General features: G+C 38.8%; 1 protein-coding gene across 6 annotated transcripts in view; it reads left to right on the top strand.

Moving 5' to 3' along the window:
• The window catches only part of UBE2W (ubiquitin conjugating enzyme E2 W), a 98,767-nt gene that overhangs the window by 54,074 nt on the left and 25,195 nt on the right, over positions 1 to 19,498 (top strand). For all 6 annotated transcript variants that reach the window (NR_073121.3, NR_073119.3, NR_073120.3 and 3 more), the window contains 2 exons: positions 14,160 to 14,315; positions 19,063 to 19,138. Coding sequence is in view for 3 of the 6 variants with exons in the window: in NM_001271015.3 (NP_001257944.2) it covers positions 14,160 to 14,315; positions 19,063 to 19,138 (232 nt within the window). In the remaining 3 variants the exon portion in view is untranslated. The remainder of the gene's footprint in view (positions 1 to 14,159; positions 14,316 to 19,062; positions 19,139 to 19,498) is intronic.

Raw genomic sequence — 19,498 nt, 5'->3', positions numbered from 1 at the left:
CTGAGCTCTGCCTCCTGTCAGATCAGCGATGGCATTAGATTCTCATAGGAGTACGAGCCTTATTGTGAACTGCACATGTGAGGGATCTAGATAGCACGCTCTTTATGAGAATCTAATGCCTGATGATCTGAGATGGAACAGTTCCATCCCAAAACCATCATCCAATCCCCAACCCCATCCATGGAAAAATTGTCTTCCATCACACCGGTCCCTTGTGTCAAAAAGATTGGGGACCACTGCTCTAGGCCATCGGAGAAGTTGACATTTTGGAATAACTGGAGGCACTTCTCCTAGGTCAGATGGTAGAATCACATGGTGAAGAGAAAAGTTCTCTGTTGGAAGGAGTACTATGATTTTGCATTGACATGCTGTCCTTGCAGCCTTTTAGTACAGGAAGGGCAGAGTACATCATCAGATGTTAAATATCTAAACATCAGCACAAAGTCTGATTATTATAATTTGATGCCCAGTGAGTTTAGTTAATAGCTTAATACTTAGACAAGGGATAATGGTGGTAGAGAAATGTTTTTTGAGAGCTATTTAACTATAGTAAATGATTAATCAGGTTAGAGAAAGGAAGACTCTAGGATGACTTCCAGGTTTCTGGCTTGGTAAGATAAGTAAATGAGTTACTATAATTACTTATTCTTCAGAGAATTATAACAAAGCACTTCATTTTTAAAATTTGAGGCTTGTGAGATCCGTTGGCTAAAATGGTAAGACATGATGCCAGCTCTCTCTAGTATTGCTAGCAAATGAGCTATTCTGGAAAATACAACCAAATACCTGAAATATTTCCCAGATACTGAAAATTTTGCTTGTTGGGTGCTGAAATGTACTATTTGGAGGAAAATCATATTTCATTGTCACTTTAAACAATATACCAAACACAGCTTAATCTTTTCTTAGTTATGTAAGAGAAGAGATAAAGTCAGTTATTGTATCATGCTATAAGTAAAGAGATAATTGTTTTAAAGCATAGATTTAAATGGATACTGACTCCTTAAGTTCTAAAATTTTCATATGAGCAGAAAACTACCAAGACTTTTAGGACTTATTTTTATCATTTTCATAAAAGTTAAAGTGAAAGGGTATGTGCTATTGTGACCTCTAGATGTCTACAATAAGCATTTGTAGACTATAATAAAAAGAACAAACATCTTCTCTCCAGAAGATTGTCATCACTTTTGTTGCTTTCTGGCTGGCCAGCATCATTTCTGACTGTAAATGTGTGGAGACAACAGGATCTCAGTCTGTTTTCATCATCAGCCTATTTGTCTACCTTCAACTAAGTTCAATGATGGTATGGGAAGGAAGAATATTTCACACCAATTCAAAAGCTTTTGACTAGGGAGATATTGGGGGAAGGCTTACTCTGGGAGCTTACAGATTTTTCACCAGAGGAAAATAATATTTCTGTAAGCATGAAACCAAGTCAAAAATGTGTTCTCTAAACTCTTTCCTTAATATTTAATTCTAAATCAAATATCAAACTTAAACATTATGTTGAATTTCTTCTTTAATATTTCTGTAAGTTACAGCATTTGTAATAAATTCTCCCTATTGTCCTATTTCAAATTCATTTTATCCTCCTTCCCTGATTTTATTTGTCTGTTCTTCTAACATTGGTGTTATCCAGGTTCTTTATTCAGCACTGTGTTACTCTTCTCACTCTTCTTTCACCTTCAGTCACCTTAAGCAGCTAACTCCCAGATCTACAGCTCTGGGAACACTTCTTTTTTTAAGGCTTAATTTCACACCCTTGTTGAAATACTTGAGTACCTCCAGACATCTCAAATTTAACACAACTAAACTTGATCTTTCCAATAACAAAGAACATTTTGTTTTTCTTTATCCTGGGTTACTGTCCACCTGTCTATTTTTGTGCTCAGTTTTTCTCTTTTCCACACTCCTCCCTCCTACATTTGAAAGGTAGCCCATTCTTTTCTTAATGTCAGTGCTGTAGTCTGGTTTTTTGTTTGTTTGTTTTTGTTTTGTTTTTTTTGAGACAGCGTCTCGCTTTGTCACCCAGGTTGGAGTGCAGTGGTGCAATCTTGGCTCACTGCAACTGCTGCCACCTGGGCTCAAGTGATCCTACCATATCAGCCTCCGAAGCAGCTGGGACTACAGGTGCATGCCACCACACCCAGCTAATTTTTTTTTTTTTTTTTTTTTTTTTTTTTTTTGCAGTTGCAAGATTTAATAGAGTGAAAACAGAGCTCCCATACAAAGGGAGGGGACCCAAAGGGGGTTGCTGTTGCCAGCTCGAATGTCTGGGTTTATTTCCTGATCGTTGTCCCTCCCTCTGTGCTCTCAGGCAACAGATGATTGGCTATTTCTTTACCTCCTGTTTTTGCCTAATTAGCATTTTAGTGAGCTCTCTTTACTATCTGATTGGTCAGGTGTGAGCTAAGTTGCAAGCCCTGTGTTTAAAGGTGGAAGCGGTCACCTTCCCAGCTAGGCTTAGGGATTCTTTGTCGGCCTAGGAAATCCAGCTAGTCCTGTCTCTCAGTGCCCCCTCTCAACAGGAAAACCCAAGTGCTGTTGGGGAGGTTGGCCGACAACCACTCTAACTGCTTCCCGCTGAATTGGGACGTAGTAGGGGTTGTGCAGTTGAGATTTCCTCAGGAGGGGTGCCTTCAATGTCATTAACATTGGAGCATGGGCTAGCAGGCCGGTCCAGGGGTCTGTGGTAGATTTTAGTCATGGACTGTCTGGGGCTCCATTTGAAGAACGATTTGTAGTTTTACAGCTTCAATTCTGGAAGAGACAAACTTAACAAGGAGGTTAAAGATAGAGGGATTGAAATGTATGGCCTGCAGTGCAGGGGATTATTTCTTTGGCACACTTTACAGGCCTTGACTATCTGCTTGATAGTTTTGAAAAGGTCTGGTCCAGTAAATAATGATTTGGCCATCTGATGGCACACCCAGCTAATTTTTATATTTTTTGTAGAGATGGGGTCTTGCCATGTTGCCCAGACTAGTCTCGAGCTCCTGGGCTCAAGCGATCAGCCCACCTCCTTGGCCTCCCAAAGTGCTGGGATTACATGTGTGAGCCACCATGCCTGGCCTAGTCCAGGTTTTTATCTTTTATTTGAACCATTACAGTAGCCTTTAGTTCTTTGAATTCCTACATCCTTTCACGGTGCCAATAGATTTGTTTGAAGGCACAGTTATCTCACTGGTTACATACCACACACATGGACATGCACACACATCCCCCCCCCCCCACACACACACTCCCACACCCCACTCCACCCCCCCACCACACACACACTCTGTCTCACTCCACCATCCCCAGAATTCCTCACCCCCTGACAGTAAAACCTCTTAATGTTTATTTCCTATGGAATCAAGTTTTTAGCCTGGCATTCAAGTCCCTGTATAGTCACATCCAAACTTAACTTTTTCTGCACCTGCATGCATTCTGTATGGTAATATTTCTATATAGTACTTCATAATTTAACTTCCATTCTGATTTTGTTTTCTAACATCTTTTAATGAAGTGGTTAGGGGAGGTAGATTCATCCTCATTTTATATGTGAAGAAATTGAAACTTGTAGAAGTGAAGTGCCTTGTTCACGTTTTAATACCTAGTTTATAGGACAGTCAAGACCCAAACCCAAGTCTTTCCTTTCCTCCTTTGCCATACTGCCAATTAGATGCGAGTACCGGTGTGGAAAAAATGCCTATTTATCTATGTAGTAATTTTCTCTCTGAAAGTGAAAGATTATATGTGGAATGAATGGTACCTTTGAAAGCTCTAGGTCAGTTATTCTCACTCTTTTTGAAATATAAGGATTCCTTTTTTAATTTACTTTTTGGTGGGGTGGGGGTGCGGAGACAGAGTCTCCCTTTGTCATCTACCTATGCTGTGGTGTAATCATAGCTCACTGCAGCCTCCAACTCCTGGGCTCAAGTGATCCTTCCACCTCAGCCTCCAGAGTAGCAGGGACTACAGCCATCTGCCGCCATGCCTGGCTTGGTTTTTTTATTTTGTTTTTTTGTTTGTTTGTTTGTTTGTTTGTTTGTTTTTTATTTTTTTGAGACAGAGTCTCGCTCTGTTGCCCAGGCTGGAGTGCAGTGGTGTGATCTCTGCTCACTGCAACCTCTGCCTCCTGGGCTTAAACCATTCTCCCACCTCAGCCTCTCTGAGTAGCTGCAACTACAGGTATGCACCACCATGCCTGGCTTATTTTTTTTTGTATTTTTGGTAGAAACAAGGTTTCACCATGTTGGTCCAGCTGGTCTTGAACTCCTGTCCTAAAGTGATCTGCTCGCCTCGGCCTGTCAAAGTACTGGGATCATAGGCACGCCCAGTGAGGATTCCTTTTTAATATCAGTTAATTCTGTAGTCCCTCACATGGCATAGAGGTTGTATATTCTAATATCCATTGATTGGGAAAATGGCAGAACTACTCTGAGGCCAGTAATACGTTAAAATTTTTTAAAATGTATTTATACATAATCTATATAGTTTTAACATAATTATAATGGGTCAAACATCAATGCTTGATGTGCTTATAGACTTCAAGATTTTTCCAATAACTGAAACTTTGCAGAGATCCACTGCCCTGGGAAAGTGGCTAGAACCAGTCCTCTAGGGCAGTAAAATTCCCCCAAAATTTTATTTGATGAAACTCTGTAGCATTAGCACTTGTTACCTAAATTAGTCTTTCATCTTTCTGGCTGGGCATGGTACTCATGCCTGTAATCCAAGCACTTTGAGAGGCCAAGGCAGCCCAGGAGTTTTGGGACCAGCCTGGGCAACGTAGGGCAACCCCATCTCTAATAAAAAAAAGAAAGAAAAGTCTTTCATCTTTCTATGCAATGAACAGTACTGAGTTTATCACTAGTTACAAGAGTAGAATTTGGAAAATATTTCTAGAATAGATGAATCTCATTGTGAAATTACTGCTTTTGTACCTGTAAATGAGATCAGTAAGACTGTCACACACCATTATGGTTTGTTGTGTTTTTCTTCCTGCCAGTTATATTTTATGTCTCATGTTGTGTCCTGCCTTATAATGAAAAAGTTACCTCTCTAAAATATGTTTGGCTCAGTCATTTGCCTTAAAAGAAAGAATAACAACAAACAATTTGTCTGTTAATATGGAAACAGAGATGAGGCATCTTTTCATCACTGCTTGCCGCTAATGTACACTTACTGTCAGCCATACAGAAAATAGCTTTCTATGTACATATTCTGCTTTTTTATGCTAGGATACAGGTAAATGGTTGGTTAATTCAACATGTATTGGGCATGAATTATGTATCAAATACTGTTTCTTGAGAGAGGGGAGAGAGTACAGAGTTTTAAAAGGCATTGGGCCTGCCTTTAAACAGTTTATAATCTGTTTAGTATTTGGATAGGTAAATATTCATTCCGTATTTCTTGAGGATGTGTCATGGGACAGACACTGTGCTGGGTGCTGGTGATTCAATGATGACCAAAACTGCAACAGCAACAAAAACCCTGCTTATATGGAGTTTGCATTCTTGTGGGGAGAGACAGTAAGCAACGAGTAGAATACATATAGTATGGAAGATGGTGAGGGAAAAGTACAGAAGGGGAGATGAGGGTGTTGAAATATTGGATAGAGTCACTGGGAAAGATTTCACTGAGAAGGTGACATTGGAGGAGAGATCTGAAAGATGTGCAGGAGTAAGCCATTTGAAAGGGTTGAGAGAAAGAACAGATGAAGACAAAATGCAAAGGCTCTAAATCTGGAATATGTAGGACGGGTCCCTGGAGTGGTGTATAAACAGGAAGGGGAGTGTAAGGCTTAGGTCAGTGTATTAGGCCATTTTTGTACTGCTATAAAGACCTGAGGCTGGGTAATTTATAAAGAAAAGAGGTTTAATTGGCTCACAGTTCTGCAGGCTGTACAAGAAGCATAGTGCCACCATCTGCTTCTGGTGTTGGCCTCAGGACGCTTACCATCATGGCAGAAGGTGAAGAGGGAGCAGTGTCTCACATGGCGAGAGTGGGAACAAGAGTCAGTGGCGAGGTGCCACACATTTTGAAACAACCAGATCTCAAGAGAACTCATTCACTGTCGAGGACATCACCAAGCCATTCATGAGAGCACACACCCAGAGTGACCCACACACCTCCCACCAGGCCCCACCTCCAACATTGGGGGTTACATTTCAACATGAGATTTGGAGGGGACAAACATCCAAACTGTATTAGTCAGAGAGATCATTTGGGCTGGAGCGGTCATCACAGATTATATAGGACATTTATAGCCCCTTGTAAGAATTTTGACTTTTTACTCTTAGTGAGATGGGGAAGCCTTTGGAAGGTTTTGAGCAGAGGAACGATATAGTCCTATTTAAAGTTAAAAGGAACAGTCTGGCTGTTGTGTGGCATATAAACCGTTCAGGGCATAAAGGTGCAGGGAGATCAGATAGGCCGTTAAAGTAACCCAGGTGAGAGATGATGGTGACTTGCACCAGAAGGGTAGCAGTGGACGTTTTGGAAGGTGGTCATGTTTTGGACCTGTTTTAAAGGTTGAAATCAACAGGATTTGCTAATGGATTAATTTGGAGTATGATTGAAGGAGGGGAGGAGTCAAGGAAGACTCCATGATTTTTGGCATATGCAACTGTACAGACAACTGAAGTGTGAATTGTATGCTTTGGGGGCAAAAGGGAAAGCAACCAATTTAGAATATTCTAAGGGGGCAAAGAAAAACCTATTTGAACTGGTAGAACTGGGCCTTAAAGGACAAAAAGAGTTTATGTGAAAAGTATAGGGCAAGGTGTGAAAGGACTTGGCCTCCTTACATTTGTGAGCATGGGCTCTTGTAGTTTTATGTGTCGATACATGGGGGATTACAGCAGGAGATGAGAGTGGAAGGTTATTTTGGGGCTTATCAAAAAGGGTCTTGCAGTGTGAAAGAAGTTTGACGTTTCTATCATAGGTATTAGGAGGGATGGCCCATCTCCATCAAAACTCTGAAGTCCACAACTGGGCGTGGTGGCTCATGCCTCTAATCCCAGCACTTTGGGAGGCCAAGGCAGGCAGATCACTTGAGGTCAGGAGTTTGAGACCAACCTGGCCAACATGGTGAAACCCATACTAAAAATGCAAAAATTAGCTGGGCATGGTGGTGTGCACCTGTAGTCCCAGCAATTCAGCAGGCTGAGGCAGGAGAATTGCTTGAACCTGGAAGATGGAGGTTGCAGAGAGTCAAGATCATGCCACTGCACTCCAGCCTGGCGACAGAACGAGACTCCATCTCAAAACAAAACAAAAAAAACCTCTGAAGTCCTCAAGCTTAGTATCTTGACTCTATTACTACTTTTCCTTTCTATATCCAAGAGAAAGTTCTTCCATTCCTTTACATATCCAGTATTTGTACCCCTTTCCTCTGTTAAAGCATTCTATTTGAGTGAAAGAAATCTGAAATACATCTATTACATTGATTTATTAATTATCATTATTATTTTTGAGATGGAGTTGCGCCCTGTCACCCAGGCTGTAGTGCAGTGGCATGATCTTGGCTCATCGCAACCTCCGCCTTCTGGGTTCAAGTGATTCTCCTGCCTCAGCCTCCTGAGTAGCTGGGATTACAAGCGTGCACCACCACACCCAGCTAATTTTTTTTGTATCTTTAGTTAGAAATGGGGTTTCACCATGTTGGCCAGGCTGGTCTCAAACTCCTGACCTTGTGATCTGCCCGCCTCAGCCTCCCAGAGTTCTGGGATTATAGGTGTGAGCCACCATGCCTGGGCACTTTTTATTGAGACAGAGTCTCACTCTGTTGCCCAGGCTGGAGTGAAGTGGCGCAATCTTGGCTCACTGCAACCTCCGCCTCCCGGGTTCAAACGATTCTCCTGCCTCAGCCTCCACAGTAGCTGGGATTACAGGCGCGCACCACAAAGCCTGGCTTATTTTTGTATTTTTGTTAGAGACAAGGTTTTGCCATGTTGGCCAGGCTGGTCTGGAACTCCTAACCCCCCAGTGATCCGCCCACCTCGGCCTCCCAAACTGCTGGGATTACAGGCTTGAGCCTCCGTGCCCGGCCTTGTTTTAGAGACTTTTAGCTAATTTTTGATGAAGACGTTTTCAGTATTTTAGAAATAGGGAAAATGTTTATTTTAGAGGGAAGGGGACAGTGTCTCTTTGATTAGAAGCCATTTTGTTGCTAAGAGTGGTGCTGAAAGTACAATTGCCTTGATTGTAAAGCTTTAAAAGTACTGAGGCAAAAGAGTAATTACCTTCCTCTTCATCCTCATTCCCCCCTCCTATTCATGCCTCCTTACCACGGACCCTTTTCTGTTGCTCAAAATTCATTCTTTGCAGAGATCCAGAACCTATGTTCGTGATGTCCTCATCTTGTCTTTTTTTCCTGGTCTGATTTTCCATCCTCTTTCATGGGTGATGTTCAAGCTTTCCAAAGTCTTTGAATAACAGTTTTTATTGCCTTAAATTGACAAGCGTCTTGGACACCTGACAAGAAGGTTAACAGTGAACCCTATTCACTGAAGCCTTGGGGGTCAAGGGGAAGGAAGATAGAGGATTAGACTAGTAGGCTAAAAGAACATAGAGTATAAAGGGAAGAGAATGATTACCATCCAAGACAATCCAAGTTTAGTTTCGTTGTGTCCAATAATTTTGTCTTTGCACTATAGCTGCATGGTACTCGTTATTACAGAGTATCAGGGAACACTTATGGATGCTTGCTGTGTATGAGAGGACTAAAAAGGGAGAATTGAATGGAAAGCTATGCTAAGATTCCAATCTCCAGTCATTTTTGTCAAATACCGTTTATGGTAGACTACCTATATTGTATGTTATACATAAATATCTGATTTAGTTTCCATTACAACAATAAACTGATTGCTTGTATGTTCAGTTTATGTAGTTACACATTAAGTACTGTTGTCTGCATTAAATACTATCTTATAATAATTGTAATCAGAGAACATATTTTCCTCATACTGTCCCTGGAAAAACCTTGGTATCCATATTGTAGATTGGCTTTTATAATTATATTCTGTTTTTTACTGCTCGTTTATATACACTGTGTTTTGACCTAGCTTGACACCATGTTAGGTTATAGACTTTCTAACTACCTCTGCAACTCTAGTCTGAACAGTAGTTGTGCCTCCTTCGTGGTAAGATCTCAGTACCATAAGGCCTTTCAGTATTGGGCTTGATGTTTGAAAATTCTTGAATTTCATATTAGAAAGGTACCTGATACCCATCCTTTATTTTGTTCTTAGCAATAATGCAGAGGTTTTTGGTAAACTGTATAAACATATAGAAGTGTACAATTACAAGTCTACTTTCAATTATTGATTTTTATTAAGTCATTATAAATATTGGTAGCTATAATATTGAGCTATTTCTCTGACTACACCAACTTTGAGTGAGGTTTTTTGTTTTTTGTTTTTTTTCCAAGACAGGGTCTCACTCTGTTGCCCAGGCTGAAGTGCCATGGGCTATCGTAGCTCAACTGCAACCTCAGACTCCTGGCTCAAACAATCCTCTCACCTTAGCTTCCTGAGTAGCTGGGACTACAGGAGCATGCCACCACATGCGGCTAGTTACTATTTTTTTTAGAGATGGGATCTTACTTTGTTACCCAGGCTGGTCTTGAGCTCCAGGGCTCAAGTGATCCTCCCACATTGACCTCCCAAAGTGCTAGGATTACAGGTGTGAGTCACCATCCCCAACCCCTGTTCATTCTTATTTTTTATTTTTATCACTATGGTGGCTTTCAGTGTAGATTTTAGTAGTTTTATGAAAGGCACTACATTCACAGTACCCAAAAATTACCCAGAGATTGGCCTGCTTAAAATTTCAGGTTGGTTGTGGGATAAACATACTTATCTCCAAAATGATACATACCCTGAGCATAATTATTTCTCTCTTAGCTCTCACTTGCTTTTGAATAAGCCATACTGCTCGGGAGATGTTTGGAAAGGTAGTAATAATTAAAGACTGCTTCCAGTCTGGGTGCAGTGGCTCACGCCTGTAATCCCAGCACTCTGGGAAGCCGAGGCGGGCGGATCACAAGGTCAGGAGTTTGAGACCAGTCTGGCCAACATATAGTAAAACCCCATCTCTACTAAAAATACAAAAAATTAGCCAGGCGTGGTGGTGTGCGCCTGTAATCCCAGCTACTTGGGAGGCTGAGGCAGGAGAATCATATGAACCCAGGAGATGGAGCTTGCAGTGAGCAGAGATCGGGCCATTGCACTCCAGCCTGGGCAACAGTGCGAGACTCCATCTCAAAAAAAAAGACTGTTTCTAATGCAACTTCAAACTTGATTCATGTACATTCGGTCTAAGATCCTTTTCTAAAACTGTATTTCCATCAAATCGTTCTTTAAAAATCTGTAATTCCATTTTACTTAGTGTAATTTACGCAGCGAGGAATGTCCGTGGTCTCCATCGTTGGCTGTTCATATGACTATTTTGAATACATTCGCAAAGTTGCTATGGTTTCAAATTTATTGTGTTCAGTTGTTTTGTCACATCGGTTCTAGTCAGTTTTGTCAGCTACTTGAAACTCCAAAAAAATTTTTTTGAACCTTAGAAACAACTTAATAATTTCTTGTTTGTAGAAACTACTTGACTGAGTTAAAAAACTGAAACATTCACTTTCTCCTTTGGCTTGTAGTGAGTATTAAATAAATGAGGATGGCTAACAGTATGCAGTTGAAGAAATTCTGCCTTGGTTACTTTCCCCATGCAGAGAACCAGATTAGCAAAGTTTACATTAGAACAATCTGTGGGCCGGGTGCAGTGACTCATGCCTGTAACCCCAGCACTTTGGGAGGCTGAGGTGGGTGGATCACCTGAGGTCAGGAGTTCGAGACCAGCTTGGCCAACGTGGTAAAACCCCATCTCTACTAAAAATACAAAAAATTAGCTGGGTGTGGTGGCAGGTGGAGGCTGAGGCAGGAGAATCACTTGAACCTGGGAGGCGGGGATTGCAGTGAGCCAAGGTCGTACCATTGCACTCCAGCCTGGGCAACAAGAGCAAAGCTCTATCTGGGGAAAGAAAAAAAAAAAACCATCTGTGGAAACTATGCTTATTTGCCCCTTATGTGAATGAACTATTGAAAAAAATTTCCTTTTATTTCAGAAATTCACCTCTGGCATGTAAATTCACCTCTGGCATGTAAATTCACCCTTTATATGTTTAGACAAACTTCTAAAATTCTGTATCTGGCAGGTTAGGCCCTAAGGGTTACCTATTACATGCAATTCCCCTGGTTTTGGTTGCTAAAAGTTTTAGGGTGGCTGCATTTGCCCTGCATGCAGTATGTTAAAAAGCCCCTGCTGTTTTATTTAAAGGTTATTGAGATCTGAATTATTTTTATCTCAGTCCTCTTCTACTTCACAGTTGTTTCTGTCTTCTTCATTACTGGTTCTCTTTGCTTACAGAATATCTGCTGCATCTGCTGTAGGTGTTTTCTACTGCTACTCATCGCTTTTCTTTCTCTTCTCTCCTGAGTACCTTTTGGTTCATGCCTACTTACTGGCTCTCAGGCCAAGTGATTTAGTTTATAACCATTTCTCTTTAGGAAAAATACTGTTCTCCTTGTGCTCTGAATTGGCTGGGTGAAACATGATGTAGTAACCTTCGTGTTGCTATTTTCTTTAAAGGTTGGTGATTCAGTTTTGCCAAAGAAGATAATTTGGCAGTTGTTCTTTTTTTTTTTTTTTTTTTTTTTTTTGTGGCACTTTCAGATCACTATTCTTCTTGACTTCTTGATAGAGACCTTACTGGGAAAAATATCTTTTTTTTTTTTTTTAAGGCCGAGTTTCGCTCTTGTCGCCCAGGCTGGAGTGCGGTGGTGCGATCTCAGCTCACTGCAACCTCTGCCTCCCGGGTTCAAGCAATTCTCCTGCCTCAGCCTCCCAAATAGCTGGAATGACAGGCACGTGCCACCGCTCCCAGCTAATTTTTTGTATTTTTTAGTAGAGACGGGTTTTCGCCATGTTGGCCAGGCTGGTCTCAAACTGCTGACCTCAGGTGATCCACCCACCTCGGCCTGCCAAAGTGCTGGGATTACAGGCATGAGCCACACCGAAAAATATCTTTTAAAAAAATAATTGTGGCCAAAGAAGAAACTCTTGGGTATTGCTTGTGTTTTAATGAAAATATCCTACTGGTCAAATGGCTTTTTATGGCAAAATGAATACCTCAAGGTAGATGTCCGTAAGATTTGTAAACTCCCATTCTGTACATCTACAACACATGGGAGTATCAGATGCATATGATGTAATAAACTATAGTTCATATTTATGAAAAATAAAATTTCATTAAAAAACAGTTGTGGACAGACTCCAGTGTGGAACTATAAGACCATGTAAGCATTTGTTTTCTTTTACAGAGCAATACTTTTTTTTAGCAAAAAGTAATGAAGAGGGTACTAGCACCGATAGATGTAATTGAGATAAATGTCATGCATAGAGCGTAGCCATTACAAAATCAAAGTCCTTTCAGGGAGTCTTCTGCAATTAGGTAGGATAAGTGACTTGATTTCTCTTATTTTGAGACTTTACTTTTGTTTTTTAGCTTTTTTTTTTTTTTTTATTAGTGGGAATGGAGAGTTGATGTCCAGAATTTAAAGAAAAAAAAGAAATAGATGCAAGTATGGAAAATCGTTCCTTTGGGAAAAAAATGCCTTTTGCTGTCTTATCTAGTCTTAGCCAAGGAAATGTGTCCCATATGTTAGTTAATATATTTGAAATATTAGAAGACTCTACTCATATGAAAGACTGCTTTATTAACATGTAAATCTTTGTAAAATTGTAACATTGTAACAAAATCAGATTCATAGCTAGATATTTAAAATATATATAAAACTTAGCTTATGGTAATTTCCTATAACATATTCCATATTAAACTATAGCATACCTTATTCTATTCATATTTACCTCACTGGTTCTTTTTTCTGCTCTATAAAGAGAAAAAAGGGTATGCCTAAAGCAATACTGTATATCTTTTATCAGTTTCTGCTATAACTTAAGGTAAGATTTCTCCTTACTGATATTCTGTTGTACTTGGGTATGAGGCAGTTTGCAGGGCTGAGATACTGTAAATCTGATTTAGGAATTGTTGGTTTATATCTGATGGGTTTTATAAAAATCTAATTATACTTACTAAATTAGAATCTGTGAAAGCAGGACACTTGAATTTGTATTTTTAAGCAGATCTTCCAACTATGTGTTCTTTTGTTTTTTTGTTTGATTTTTGGCGAGGTCAGGAATTAGGAATTACTGCTAACCTGTAGAATAAATATAGTACACAGTGTAAACATAAGACTTCTGCTTTCTTCGAGCAACTTTGGACTATGCTTACAGATTCCTCAGGATATATGAATTTATTCTCCTGCCTATTTGCTTAGGTAAATAAGTTTAAGAAAAACTACTTTAAGATATTTGTTGAATTATTAGAGCAAAGGAAGGAAATAATAGATTTATTACCATTCAAAACATTGCTGAGACATGATAGAGAAAGGAAAAACAGTGTTACAGAAGAATTGAGTAAAAGGGAAAGGAGAGTAAAACTGCAAATTGGGAGACTTGGTCAACTTTTGTATTTTTCGTCTAGGCACATAGTTATTTACTGATTAACAGCTAGTAACTTGTACCCATCATAATGGATGTGTAAGTTTAGAGGAGGTGGAATATATAACAGTCATTTCCCTTTGCACATGTGCCTTAGAGCTAACATTGTTAACAGGTAGTAGTAGGAGGAATGTTCCTACCACCTGTCATTCATATTTTCCCAAAATTGAATATTTTTGTTTGGAATTTTATCATACTTGATTTTTATATGCAGAGAGCAATGAGCAAAATCTGAAAAATCATTCTTATAAATGTAGTTGTCTTTCACTAGTAAAAAATACGTAGTTTAGAATTTTTAAGGAGAATTTATCAAAAATAACCGAAATAAAAAATAATTTGGCATCTTTTCCCTACTATGTGGTTATTCGTTCAGTGAAACCAATACTTACTGAGTTAATGAGAGTAAACAAATAAGCAGTTGTTTATCATGTTCCTGGCACTGATTTTGGTGGTTTTTTGTTTTTTTATAATCAATATTTGTTATATGTGGAGAATATTTTAGTTTTTGGTAGTAGAGAATATTTGAGTTTTAATGGAATTTTATTCTCTCTTAGGTCATGTTTACTGGTGAAAATATTCCTGTTCATCCTCATGTTTATAGCAATGGTCATATCTGTTTATCCATTCTAACAGAAGACTGGTCCCCAGCGCTCTCAGTCCAATCAGTTTGTCTTAGCATTATTAGCATGCTTTCCAGCTGCAAGGAAAAGGTAAGACTTTTCAGAATTATTCCAGATAATATCTCTTCTTTCAGTTAGGTAGATAAATAATTTTAATATGTAATTATTTTTATTTGGAGGAAGGATTTATGCTTTTTATTTGAAAATTATAGGGAATTTCATGTTTAGTAATAAATTGGAAAGTTATTTTGATACCTTTCATTCCAAATAGAAGTTTTACATGTTGAATGGGGTAGAAGCCAGACTTACTGTTTTATATTCTTTTAAACAGGAAATGTACGGTATTTTCTTAAAGCTGATTTTATTCCCAAAAGCATGCACAGGTAAAAGTATACAAGAAATTCTTTTTGTAGATTTCACAGTGGAAAGCCTCAGAAAAGTGCATCATAGCTTCCTTCTCCCCTCTGCCAGCTCCCACCCGATCAACCTGTTTCAGGGAATTTTTCAGGAACCAGAGCTTCCCTGTCCTAATGATTAGGTTGAAGGAGGAAGACCAGTTTACCAGTCGAATTTTCAGGGCGTTTCTTCCTGTTCTCCTTTATTAATCCACAGATTCTATGTCTGATGGAAGTGGGGGGAAAAAAAACAAAAAGAAAAAAAATCACTTAATTAAACTTAAAATGTAGGCTGGGCACGGTGGCTTACACCTGTAATCCCAGCACTTTAGAAGGCCTAGGCAGGTGAATCACCTGCGGTCAGGAGTTCGAGACCAGCTGGCCAACATGGTGAAACCCTGTCTCTACTAAAAATACAAAAATTAACTGGGTGTGATGGTATATGCCTGTAATCCCAGCTACTCAGGAGACTGAGGTAGGAGAATTGCTTGAACCCAGGAGGTTGCAGTGAGCCAAGATCATGCCACTACACTACAGCCTGGGTGACAGAGCGAGACTCCATCTCAAGAAAATAATAATGAAATAAATTTAAAATATACATATAAATTTAGGATACCCTTTAAATGTATCTGAATCCTCTGTACACTTCTGACACTCTTGTCATTCCTGCTTAAGGGTTAGTATAGCATAACATTTATGTATTTCTACATTTTAAAACCCCTCTTAAATCCCTATGAGGGTTTTCCTTTTGCATTCTGTTTAAAGGAGAAACAGCTTTGCCCTAGAGGTTAGGGAGTTATTTGTGTTTTACAGTTTTCTTTCCTTTTCTCCAAATTGAACTGATTGTCATTTTTATTAAATTAGTATTTGGAGAACTTTTAAGATAATAGTTCATTTTTTAATGATAGGTTATTTAGAATCTGAAGCACTCTAAGCCACAGCATGTGAAATAATAGGTTAAATTGGTTTTGTTTTGTTTTTTTACTCATTTGTTGCTTATTGCTGTTATATTTTCTCCTCTCACCCACCCCCAACACACACACACGTTTTAAACTTTTATGTGTAGGGCAAAGCAGTTTGTGGGTACAAGGCCTTCTATGTTCCTGTTACGCTTAAAGACTATAGAAAGGTGAGACGGTAACAACAGTATTTAATAAGAAAGTTATTAAGAGATTAATGTCAGCGATATCTGTACATAGTCTTGCATGTGCCTCATGATTATTAGATTTTATTTACATTTAAATATAATGATTTATTATTAAAAACTAGAGAATGACTATATTCTGTGTACTTCCTTCATCTTCCTCTAACCCTCACCATTCCCCTTACATTCTAGTTGTCTGCTACTAGTGTTTCTTGTACACTTAGTATAAGACTAATCATTCCATTTAAAGCACTAATAAACTATGTTTTTACTGTAATAGTTGTATAATATTTAACCAAGATGATAATACAGAAATCAAGATTTCCATGAAATACGATAAAATTCAAAAAACATTTACTAGGTACCTAGTATGTGCTACTTTTACTGTGCTAAGTGATAAGTTACAAAGATGAAGAGGAAATTTGCCTTGGCATTGAGACGATCTGGCATTAGAGAGATCTAAGCTCCAAAGAAACCTTAAAAAGTGTTTTAGGCCAGGTGCAGTGGCTCACGCCTGTAATCCTACTACTTTGGGAGGCCGAGAAGGGTGGAGCACTTGAGGCCAGGAGTTCAAGAGCAGCCTAGGCAAAATGGCTAAACCCTGTTTACTAAAAATAGAAAAATTAGCTGGGCGTGGTGGCGCATGCCTGTAGTCCCAGCTACTTGGGAGGTTGATGCACAAGACTTGCTTAAACCCAGAGGCTGAAGTTGCAGTAAGCTGATATCACGCCACTGCACTCCAACCTGGGTAATAGAGCAAGACTCTGTCTCAAAAAAGAAAAAAGAAAAGTATTTTAAATACCCATCTACACGTTTTATTATTATTAAAACGGGTAAATTTTATTCCGTAGTGGACATGGTTCTATGGGCTTTACTTTGTTAATTCTACTACTATTAAATATTTTACTTTAGGTGTTTGGGACTTTAGTCATAATTCTTCTATTCCAATTTCCTTTTACACAGTCAGGAGTGGTTCCATAAACTGAAGGTATTTAAATCCAGTATGTCATTAGATTGTAGTGGATTAAAGATAATTTCTGATATTGAGATCACAGGACTTTCAGTAAATTCCACTTTATTTGCATGCCTTTGTAATATATTTACATTGTTCAAACTTTTCAGTTTGTATCCCATTCCTAAAACAATTTCGTAAGACTTCTTTTGTATAGTTTCTTTTCCAAGAACTGTATCTCCCTGATCATTTGTCAGGGAGATAAATGATTTAAGCAAATAGAATTGAGTATTTCTTTTTTCTAAATATGTATTTTTTGAAGACTTTTCTGATGATTCTTGGGTTCTAATCAACATATACATAAAATGAGTTTGTGAAAGTATCTGCTCTAGTAGTACCAATTCCATATGAACATAGATTTAACTTTGTAGAATCATCCCTTCCTTGAAGTAGTCAGGCATCTAATTTCATAATATTCATTTTTTAGGAATTTTCTCAAATTGTGTCCACAGATTGACTTGGAATACCTAAATGTCTTGACTGTCTTATGCTCTAATGTTTCTTTTTGTTAAATGAAATTACTAATATTAACACATAAGAGCATTGTGAGGCTCAACTAGACTGATAGTTACATATATGAGTTTTAGAAGTGCCAAATGGACTAACTGTTTTCCTTCCTGCTATCACAGAGTCCTACTCACGATTGCTTTCTGGTTAGACTTTCCTTAAATGATGTCATACCAAATTCACTTATTTTCATTAGCCTCAGGTAGAGGAGAGGATTCCCTTAATCTCTCATTTTCATTAGCTTAGCTAAGCAGATTTAAGTCTGAAAATAAATCCTGCATATACACTATACAATATTTAATGATAGGAAAATAATCAAGTTATTGGAATGATTCCGAAAGGCATAAAGGAGACTAAAGGATAAGGATATCTATCATAGTATCTATAAACTTTAATATAGCTTTAATATAAATTTGATGTTTCCAAGTCTTTGTAGAGGGTAACATTTTCTTTTGTCTAGGCAGTATGCAACAAATTTCAGGAAAAGTCTCTTCCATAATATATCTTCAGTGTTGTTGGCATCACTTTATCTGCGGTAGCTCCCTTGCGGAGCTGCCATATATTTCTCATATATTGTTCTAGTCAGGGCATATGTTCAGCAGAAAGGCCAATTATAGTAGAAATGCCAATATATATTTTTCCCATTTTTTCTCTTAAATATTGTTTAGAAACTGAATCTTCTGGTCTATCTTTGATGGTATTCTATTACAGTAAAAACAGTTCTTTGTGGAGGTTTGTACATTGCTATACTTCTCCCAACAAATCTAGTTTAGTAGACTTTTCTGTTTTGTTTTGAGACGAAGTCTGGTTCTGTCACGCAGGCTGGAGTGCAGTGGCGCAATCTCGGCTCATTGCAAGCTCCGCCTCCCAGTCTCACGCCATTCTCCTGCCTCAGCCTCCTGAGTTAGCTGGGACTACAGGCGCCCGCCAACACGCCCGGCTAATTTTTTTTTTTTTTTTTTTTGTATTTTTAGCAGACAGGGTTTCACCGTGTTAGCCAGGATGGTCTCGATCTCCTGGCCTCGTGATCCACCCGCCTCGGCCTCCCAAAGTGCTGGGATTACAGGCGTGAGCCACCGCGCCTGGCCCTTTGTTTTATTATTTATTTATTTTTTGAGATGGAGTCTCACTCTGTCACCCAAGCTGGAGTGCAGTGGCACCATCTCGGCTCACTGCAACCTCCACCTTCTGGGTTCAAGCAATTCTCCTGCTTCAGCCTTCCAAGTACCTGAGATTACAGATGCCCACCACTGCGCCCGGCTATGTTTAAATTATTATGTGAATTTGACTTTTCTCATCAGTCCTTTTTCATTCCCTTTATAATTTATTTAATTTTTTGTTTGTTTGTTTTGAGACGAGAGTCTCGCTCTGTTGTCAGGCTGGAGTGCAATGTCACAATCTTGGCTCACTGCAACCTCTGCCTCCCGGGTTCAATCAATTCTCCTGCCTCAGCCTCCCAAGTAGCTGGGATTACAGGCACGCACCACCATGCCCAGCTAATTTTTTTGTATTTTTAGTAGAGACTGGGTTTCACCATGTTGGCCAGGCTAGAACCTAACACAGACCACACTCAAACACGCTTATTATTCCTTTTTTAAATTTAGGTGTTAAGCATACACATTTCCTGGAATACATTTATAGTTTTTATTCTTTTAGATATACTATTCATGTTTATATTGTTTTTTATGCATTCTGTTAATTTTTCTTAAGCTTTTATTAAAACTGTCACCCTCTCAGTTTTTCTGTTTTTCAACCTATTTAAATTATTTTTTGTTTCAGAGACGACCACCGGATAATTCTTTTTATGTGCGAACATGTAACAAGAATCCAAAGAAAACAAAATGGTGGTATCATGGTAAGCAGTTTGAATTTGTAATAACTTTTTAGCATTTTGATATGAAGATTATATATATTTGCTATAAGACTTGGGAAAAAGAAGAGAAGCTATAATTGGTGTTATATTTATGTTATATGAAGAAAATTCTTTAAAATATTCTAATATATTTAATGGATGAATTACCCTAGTTTTTTTTGTTTTTTTTTTTTTTTTTGAGATGGAGTTTTGCTCTTGTTGCCCAGGCTGGAGTGCAATGGTGTTATTCTTGGCTCACCACAACCTCTGCCTCTTGGGTTCAAGCGATTGTCCTTCCTCAGCTTCCCAAGTAGCTGAGATTACAGGCATGTGCAACCACACCCAGCTAATTTTGTATTTTTA

Source organism: Homo sapiens, chromosome 8, assembly GCF_000001405.40.
Source record: "Homo sapiens chromosome 8, GRCh38.p14 Primary Assembly".
NCBI classification, from domain to species: Eukaryota; Metazoa; Chordata; class Mammalia; order Primates; family Hominidae; genus Homo; species Homo sapiens.
The sequence above is the reverse complement of the archived record's forward strand: the minus strand, read 5'-3'. Positions and strand labels throughout refer to the sequence as shown.